The sequence below is a fragment of the Homo sapiens genome, chromosome 10 (assembly GCF_000001405.40).
Source record: "Homo sapiens chromosome 10, GRCh38.p14 Primary Assembly".
NCBI classification, from domain to species: Eukaryota; Metazoa; Chordata; class Mammalia; order Primates; family Hominidae; genus Homo; species Homo sapiens.
The window spans coordinates 20,749,368-20,759,253 of record NC_000010.11 but is presented as its reverse complement, the minus strand read 5'-3'; the positions used below and the strand labels follow the sequence as shown (position 1 = coordinate 20,759,253).

At 39.2% G+C, this 9,886-nt stretch overlaps 2 annotated features.

Annotated features, from left to right (window-relative positions):
- Positions 1,420-1,950: an enhancer, noted in NCBI's record as "H3K4me1 hESC enhancer chr10:21046233-21046763 (GRCh37/hg19 assembly coordinates)". NCBI's record gives its function as "activates a minimal SCP1, AML or CMV promoter by ChIP-STARR-seq in primed H9 embryonic stem cells {active_cell/tissue: H9 hESC(primed)}" and the evidence as "EXISTENCE:reporter gene assay evidence [ECO:0000049][PMID:30033119]".
- Positions 1,951-2,483: an enhancer, noted in NCBI's record as "NANOG-H3K4me1 hESC enhancer chr10:21045700-21046232 (GRCh37/hg19 assembly coordinates)". NCBI's record gives its function as "activates a minimal SCP1, AML or CMV promoter by ChIP-STARR-seq in primed H9 embryonic stem cells {active_cell/tissue: H9 hESC(primed)}" and the evidence as "EXISTENCE:reporter gene assay evidence [ECO:0000049][PMID:30033119]".

Sequence of the window (9,886 nt, the reverse complement as noted above, 5' to 3'; positions counted from 1 at the left end):
ACGCTAGTGAATTAACAAATGCATTACTTCTATAGTTATTTTTGTGGTGATAGCACATAACATTGACTATTACATAACATTAACTATAGTCATCCTGCTGTTCAACAGATCTCTTGAAATGTACTCCAGACTATAATTATGTATCCTTTGACCAACATCTCCCCATCTCCACCTCCCCCTAACCACCCCATACCCACCATCGTATCAACTCGTTTAGATTCTGCATACGAGTGAGAACATGTAGTATTTGTCTTTCTATGTCTGACTTATTTTACTTAATTATATTCACCAGATTCATCCCTGTTACTGCAAATGGCAGGATTTTATTCTTTTTTATGGGTGAATAGTATTCCATTATGTATCTATATATTCATATATATATATATGTAGATATAGATCACATTTTCTTTATCCATTCATCCACTGATGGACACTTAGGTTGGTTCCGTATCTTGACTATTGTGAATAGTGCTACAAAAACATATGGGAGTGAAAATGTCTCTTCAACATATTGGTTTCATTTCCTTTGGATATATACCCAGTAGTGGGATTGCTTAGATCATATGGTAGTTCTTTTAAAATTTTTTTTTGGGAAACTCCATACTTTTTTCCATAGTGGTTGTACTAATTAACATTCCCAACAACAGTATAAAAGGATCTGCTTTTCCCCACATTTTTGCCAACACATTGTCTTTTGTCTTTTTGATTATATCCTTCTAACTGTGGTGAGATATTTTATTGTGGTTTTGATTTGCATTTCCCTGATGATTAGTGATGTTGAGTATTATTTTGTATACCTGTTGCCCATTTGTATGTCTTCTTCAGAGAAATGTCCATGCAGATCTTTTGCCCATTTCTTTTTTTTTTTTTTTTGAGTTATTTGAATTATTTCCCTGTTTTGGATATTAACCCCTTGTTGGATGTGTAGTTTGCAAATATTTTCTCCCATTCTGTGGGTTGTCTCTTCACTCTGTTGATTGTTTCCTGTGATGTGCAGATGCTTTTTAGTTCGATGTAATTCTATTTGTCTATCACCGCTTTTGTTGTCTATACTTTACAGGGCTTTCCATAAAATCCTTGCCTACACCAATGTCATGAAGCACTTTCCCTATGTTTTCTTCTAATTGTTTCACAGTTTTGGTCTTACATTTAAGTCTCTGTCAATTTTGAGTTGATTTTTGTATGTGGTGAGAGATAAGGGTCTAATTTCATTTTTATGTGCATGGATATCCAGTTTTCCTGACCCCATTTATTGAAGAAACTGTCCTTTTCTCAAGATGTGTTTTTGATACATATGTTGAAAATCAGTTGACTGTAAATTCATAGATTTATTTCTAGGCTTTGTATTCTGTTTCATTAGCCTATATGGCTGTTTTTATTCCAATACCATGCTGTTTTGGTTACTGTATTGTGAAGTCAGTTGTATAATGCCTCTAGCTTTGTTCTTTTTGATCAAGATTGCTTTGACTATTCAGAGTCTTTTATTGTTCTATACAAATTTCAGATGGTTTTTCAACATAGAAAAATGTCTACTAATGTTTTTGAAATAAAAAATGTCTGTGGGGAGGAGCCAAGATGGCCGAATAGGAACAGCTCCGGTCTACAGCTCCCAGCGTGAGCGACGCAGAAGACGGGTGATTTCTGCATTTCCATCTGAGGTACCGGGTTCATCTCACTAGGGAGTGCCAGACAGTGGGCGCAGGCCAGTGTGTGCGCGCACCGTGCGCGAGCCGAAGCAGGGCGAGGCATTCCCTCACCTGGGAAGCGCAAGGGGTCAGGGAGTTCCCTTTCCGAGTCAAAGAAAGGGGTGACGGATGCACCTGGAAAATCGGGTCACTCCCACCCGAATATTGCGCTTTTCAGACCGGCTTAAAAAACGGCGCACCAGGAGACTATATCCCACACCTGGCTCAGAGGGTCCTATGCCCACGGAATCTCGCTGATTGCTGGCACAGCAGTCTGAGATCAAACTGCAAGGCGGCAACGAGGCTGGGGGAGGGGCGCCCGCCATTGCCCAGGCTTGCTTAGGTAAATAAAGCAGCCGGGAAGCTCGAACTGGGTGGAGCCCACCATAGCTCAAGGAGGCCTGCCTGCCTCTGTAGGCTCCACCTCTGGGGGCAGGGCACAGACAAACAAAAAGACAGCAGTAACCTCTGCAGACTTAAGTGTCCCTGTCTGACAGCTTTGAAGAGAGCAGTGGTTCTCCCAGCATGCAGCTGGAGACCTGAGAACGGGCAGACTGCCTCCTCAAGTGGGTCCCTGACCCCTGACCCCCGAGCAGCCTAACTGGGAGGCACCCCCCAGCAGGGGCACACTGACACCTCACACGGCAGGGTATTCCAACAGACCTGCAGCTGAGGGTCCTGTCTGTTAGAAGGAAAACTAACAACCAGAAAGGACATCTACACCGAAAACCCATCTGTACATCACCATCATCAAAGACCAAAAGTAGATAAAACCACAAAGATGGGGAAAAAACAGAACAGAAAAACTGGAAACTCTAAAACGCAGAGCGCCTCTCCTCCTCCAAAGGAACGCAGTTCCTCACCAGCAACGGAACAAAGCTGGATGGAGAATGATTTTGACGAGCTGAGAGAAGAAGGCTTCAGACGATCAAATTACTGTGAGCTATGGGAGGACATTCAAACCAAAGGCAAAGAAGTTGAAAACTTTGAAAAAAATTTAGAAGAATGTATAACTAGAATAACCAATACAGAGAAGTGCTTAAAGGAGCTGATGGAGCTGAAAACCAAGGCTCGAGAACTACGTGAAGAATGCAGAAGCCTCAGGAGCCGATGCGATCAACTGGAAGAAAGGGTATCAGCAATGGAAGATGAAATGAATGAAATGAAGCGAGAAGGGAAGTTTAGAGAAAAAAGAATAAAAAGAAATGAGAAAAGCCTCCAAGAAATATGGGACTATGTGAAAAGACCAAATCTACGTCTGATTGGTGTACCTGAAAGTGATGTGGAGAATGGAACCAAGTTGGAAAACACTCTGCAGGATATTATCCAGGAGAACTTCCCCAATCTAGCAAGGCAGGCCAACGTTCAGATTCAGGAAATACAGAGAACGCCACAAAGATACTCCTCGAGAAGAGCAACTCCAAGACACATAATTGTCAGATTCACCAAAGTTGAAATGAAGGAAAAAATGTTAAGGGCAGCCAGAGAGAAAGGTCAGGTTACCCTCAAAGGAAAGCCCATCAGACTAACAGCGGATCTCTCGGCAGAAACCCTACAAGCCAGAAGAGAGTGGGGGCCAATATTCAACATTCTTAAAGAAAAGAATTTTCAAACCAGAATTTCATATCCAGCCAAACTAAGCTTCATAAGTGAAGGAGAAATAAAATACTTTATAGACAAGCAAATGCTGAGAGATTTTGTCACCACCAGGCCTGCCCTAAAAGAGCTCCTGAAGGAAGTGCTAAACATGGAAAGGAACAACCGGTACCAGCCGCTGCAAAATCATGCCAAAATGTAAAGACCATCGAGACTAGGAAGAAACTGCATCAACTAACGAGCAAAACCACCAGCTAACATCATAATGACAGGATCAAATTCACACATAACAATATTAACTTTAAATATAAATGGACTAAATTCTGCAATTAAAAGACACAGACTGGCAAGTTGGATAAAGAGTCAAGACCCATCAGTGTGCTGTATTCAGGAAACCCATCTCACGTGCAGAGACACACATAGGCTCGAAATAAAAGGATGGAGGAAGATCTACCAAGCAAATGGAAAAAAAAAAAAGGCAGGGGTTGCAATCCTAGTCTCTGATAAAACAGACTTTAAACCAACAAAGATCAAAAGAGACAAAGAAGGCCATTACGTCATGGTAAAGGGATCAATTCAACAAGAGGAGCTAACTATCCTAAATATTTATGCACCCAATACAGGAGCACCCCGATTCATAAAGCAAGTCCTGAGTGACCTACAAAGAGACTTAGACTCCCACACATTAATAATGGGAGTCTTTAACATCCCACTGTCAACATTAGACAGATCAACGAGACAGAAAGTCAACAAGGATACCCAGGAATTGAACTCAGCTCTGCACCAAGCGGACTTAATAGACATCTACAGAACTCTCCACCCCAAATCAACAGAATATACATTTTTTTCAGCACCACACCACACCTATTCCAAAATTGACCACATAGTTGGAAGTAAAGCTCTCCTCAGCAAATGTAAAAGAACAGAAATTATAACAAACTATCTCTCAGACCACAGTGCAATCAAACTAGAACTCAGGATTAAGAATCTCACTCAAAGCCGCTCAACTACATGGAAACTGAACAATCTGCTCCTGAATGACTACTGGGTACATAACGAAATGAAGGCAGAAATAAAGATGTTCTTTGAAACCAACGAGAACAAAGACACCACATACCAGAATCTCTGGGACGCATTCAAAGCAGTGTGTAGAGGGAAATTTATAGCACTAAATGCCTACAAGAGAAAGCAGGAAAGATCCAAAATTGACACCCTAACATCACAATTAAAAGAACTAGAAAAGCAAGAGCAAACACATTCAAAAGCTAGCAGAAGGCAAGAAATAACTAAAATCAGAGCAGAACTGAAGAAAATAGAGACACAAAAAACACTTCAAAAAATCAATGAATCCAGGAGCTGGTTTTTGGAAAGGATCAACAAAATTGATAGACCGCTAGCAAGACTAATAAAGAAAAAAAGAGAGAAGAATCAAATAGACACAATAAAAAATGGTAAAGGGGATATCACCACCGATCCCACAGAAATACAAACTACCATCAGAGAATACTACAAACACCTCTATGCAAATAAACTAGAAAATCTAGAAGAAATGGATACATTCCTCGACACATACACTCTCCCAAGACTAAACCAGGAAGAAGTTGAATCTCTGAATAGACCAATAACAGGCTCTGAAATTGTGGCAATAATCAATAGTTTACCAACCAAAAAGAGTCCAGGACCAGATGGATTCACAGCCGAATTCTACCAGAGGTACAAGGAGGAACTGGTACCATTCCTTCTGAAACTATTCCAATCAATAGAAAAAGAGGGAATCCTCCCTAACTCATTTTATGAGGCCAGCATCATTCTGATACCAAAGCCGGGCAGAGACACAACCAAAAAAGAGAATTTTAGACCAATATCCTTGATGAACATTGATGCAAAAATCCTCAATAAAATACTGGCAAACCGAATCCAGCAGCACATCAAAAAGCTTATCCACCATGATCAAGTGGGCTTCATCCCTGGGATGCAAGGCTGGTTCAATATACGCAAATCAATAAATGTAATCCAGCATATAAACAGAGCCAAAGACAAAAACCACATGATTATCTCAATAGATGCAGAAAAAGCCTTTGACAAAATTCAACAACCCTTCATGCTAAAAACTCTCAATAAATTAGGTATTGATGGGACGTATTTCAAAATAATAAGAGCTATCTATGACAAACCCACAGCCAATATCATACTGAATGGGCAAAAACTGGAAGCATTCCCTTTGAAAACTGGCAGAAGACAGGGATGCCCTCACCGCTCCTATTCAACATAGTGTTGGAAGTTCTGGCCAGGGCAATCAGGCAGGAGAAGGAAATAAAGGGTATTCAATTAGGAAAAGAGGAAGTCAAATTGTCCCTGTTTGCAGACGACATGATTGTTTATCTAGAAAACCCCATCATCTCAGCCCAAAATCTCCTTAAGCTGATAAGCAACTTCAGCAAAGTCTCAGGATACAAAATCAATGTACAAAAATCACAAGCATTCTTATACACCAACAACAGACAAACAGAGAGCCAAATCACGAGTGAAGTCCCATTCACAATTGCTTCAAAGAGAATAAAATACCTAGGAATCCAACTTACAAGGGATGTGAAGGACCTCTTCAAGGAGAACTACAAACCACTGCTCAAGGAAATAAAAGAGGATGCAAACAAATGGAAGAACATTCCATGCTCATGGGTAGGAAGAATCAATATCGTGAAAATGGCCATACTGCCCAAGGTAATTTACAGATTCAATGCCATCCCCATCAAGCTACCAATGACTTTCTTCACAGAATTGGAAAAAACTACTTTAAAGTTCATATGGAACCAAAAAAGAGCCCGCATCGCCAAGTCAATCCTAAGCCAAAAGAACAAAGCTGGAGGCATCACACTACCTGACTTCAAACTATACTACAAGGCTACAGTAACCAAAACAGCATGGTACTGGTACCAAAACAGAGATATAGATCAATGGAACAGAACAGAGCCCTCAGAAATAATGCCACATATCTACAACTATCTGATCTTTGACAAACCTGAGAAAAACAAGCAATGGGGAAAGGACTCCCTATTTAATAAATGGTGCTGGGAAAACTGGCTAGCCATATGTAGAAAGCTGAAACTGGATCCCTTCCTTACACCTTATACAAAAATCAATTCAAGATGGATTAAAGATTTAAACGTTAGACCTAAAACCATAAAAACCCTAGAAGAAAACCTAGGCATTACCATTCAGGACATAGGCGTGGGCAAGGACTTCATGTCCAAAACGCCAAAAGCAATGGCAACAAAAGCCAAAATTGACAAATGGGATCTAATTAAACTAAAGAACTTCTGCACAGCAAAAGAAACTACCATCAGAGTGAACAGGCAACCTACAACATGGGAGAAAATTTTGCAACCTACTCATCTGACAAAGAGCTAATATCCAGAATCTACAATGAACTCAAACAAACTTACAAGAAAAAAACAAACAACCCCATCAAAAAGTGGGCGAAGGACATGAACAGACACTTCTCAAAAGAAGACATTTATGCAGCCAAAAAACACATGAAAAAATGCTCATCATCACTGGCCATCAGAGAAATGCAAATCAAAACCACTATGAGATATCATCTCACACCAGTTAGAATGGCAATCATTAAAAAGTCAGGAAACAACAGGTGCTGGAGAGGATGTGGAGAAATAGGAACACTTTTACACTGTTGGTGGGACTGTAAACTAGTTCAACCATTGTGGAAGTCAGTGTGGCGATTCCTCAGGGATCTAGAACTAGAAATACCATTTGACCCAGCCATCCCATTACTGGGTATATACCCAAATGACTATAAATCATGCTGCTATAAAGACACATGCACACGTATGTTTATTGCGGCATTATTCACGATAGCAAAGACTTGGAACCAACCCAAAAGTCCAACAATGATAGACTGGATTAAGAAAATGTGGCACATATACACCATGGAATACTATGCAGCCATAAAAAATGATGAGTTCATGTCCTTTGTAGGGACATGGATGAAATTGGAAACCATCATTCTCAGTAAACTATCGCAAGAACAAAAAACCAAACACCTCATATTCTCACTCATAGGTGGGAATTGAACAATGAGATCACATGGACACTGGAAGGGGAATATCACACTCTGGGGACTGTGGTGGGGTCGGGGGAGGGGGGAGGGATAGCATTGGGAGATATACCTAATGCTAGATGACACGTTAGTGGGTGCAGCGCACCAGCATGGCACATGTATACATATGTAACTAACCTGCACAATGTGCACATGTACCCTAAAACTTAAAGTATAATTTAAAAAAAAAATTAAAAAAAAAAATAAATAAATAAATAAATAAATACCTTGATTTCTATATGTAAAAAAAAAAAAATGTCTGTGAAGAATGCCATTGCTATTTTGGTAAAGATTGGATTAAATCTGTAGATCTCTTTGGGAAGTATAAACATTTTAAGAATATTAATTCTTTCAAACTGTCATTATGGGATATTTTTCCATTTATTTTGGTCTTCTTCAATTTTTCATTAATGTTTTATAGTTTTCATTGTAGAGATATTTTACCTTCTTGGTTAAATTTATTCCTAGGCTGGTTTTTTTGGTGGCTACTGTAAATGGTATTTTTTCTTGATTTCTTTTTCAGATAGTTTGCTATTAATATATAGAAATGCTACTGATTTTTTTTTTTTTTTTTTGAGACAAGATTTCACTTCTGTCACCCAGACTGGAGTGCAGTGGCATGATCTCAGCTCACTGCAACCTCTGCCTCCCTGGGCCCAGGTGATTCTCTTGCCTCATTCTCCCCAGTAGATGGGACTATGGTGTGTGCCACAGCACCTGGCTAATTTTTGTATGTTTTGTAGAGATGGGGTTTCATCATGTTACCCAGGCTGTTCTCATACTCCTAGCCTCAACTGATCTGCCTGCCTCAGCCTCCTAAAGTGCTGGTATTACAGGTGTGAGCCACCATGCCTTGCCAGATTTTTGTATGTTCATTTTACATCTTGTAACTTTACTGAATTTATTAGTTCAAATAGTTTTTTTGATGGAATCTTTAGAGTTTTCTGTTAATGGGATCGTATTTTCTGTGAACAGGGACAATTTAACTTCCTTCTTTCCAATTTGAATGCCTTTGATTTCTTTCTCTTGTTCTGGCTAGAACTTCCAGTATTATATTGAGTAGAAGTGGTAAAAGTGGGCAGCTTCATCTTGTTCCAGACCTTAGGAGAAAAGCTTTCAACTTTTCCCTGTTCAATATCATGTTAGCTGTGGGTTTGCCATACATTGCCTTTATTGTGTTGAAGTATGTTTCTTCTTTGAGAATATTTAGCATGAAGTGAAGTTGAATTTTCTCAAATCCTCTTCTTGCATCTATTGAAATAATTATGTGATTTTTGCCTTTCATTCTGTTAATGTGGTGTATCATATTTATTGATTTCCATATGTTGAACCATCCTTGCATTCCTGGGATGAATCCCATTTAATCATGGTGAATGATTTTTTAAAAATATGCTATTGAATTTGCTTTGCTAGTATTTTGTTGAGGATTTTTGCATTTATGTTCATCAGAGATATTGGCCTAAAATTTTCTTTTTGGTTGTTGTGTCCTTGTCTGGTTTTGATATCAGGGTAATCCTCTCCTTGTTGAATTAGTTTGGAAGAATTCTTTTGTCTTTAATTTTTTGAGAATAGTCGATAAAAATTGGTATTAGTTTTTCTTTAAGTGTTGCCTAGAATTTTCAGTAGTGAAGTCATTAGGTCCTGGGCTTTTCTTTGATAGGATATCTTTAATTACTCATTCGATCTTTTTCTTTGGTTGGATTTTCTATTTCTTCATAATTCAGTCTTTGTAGTTGCATATGTCCAGGAATTTATCCATTTCTTCCAGCTTTTCCAATTTGTTGACATATAATTGTTCATAATTGTTTCTTATGATAGATCCTTTGTATTCCTATGGTACCAGTTGCAATGGTTCCCTTTTCATCTCTGATTTTGAGTCTTCTATCTCTTTTTTAAAAGTTTCTTGATTGATTGAGTTATTCCTCTAGCCCACCAGCAAGTTTCATAAGGCTTGAGTATTCTTTACCCTCAAAGACTTTTTCTCACTGTGAGGGACACTAGTCTTAATCTGGCAAAAGTACCTGGAGCTATTCTGAATGCTCCAGATGGTCTCCAGTTAGTTAGGGTATGATTGCTTTGTCAGAACAGGAGGACTTGCAGATATACAGCCAAGTTTAGAGAAAGTATCCAGGGAAGTGGGGCCAGATACTTGGGTCCTGGTTTTGGTTTTGTTCCCACTTACTGTATGACTTTGAATAAGCTACATAACCTTTCTGTGCTTTACTTTCCAGACTCTGGTCTACCCCACCCTTATAATAAATCTCATAGTAAGTCAATGAAGCCATGTTCAAGTATCTGTGTCAAATATTATGGTAGGAAATATGATAGATAAGATAAACATATTTTAAGTGTTAAGGGGGATGTGGTTTTTCTCTGGCCCTATGTAGAGGAAATTTCATTTGGAAGAACTCATTAGAGAACCACTTCTGGCCTCTCCTTGCTGCCCCATGTACTCTGCAGGGCAGAGAAGAGATTGCTGTCACTGGGAGAA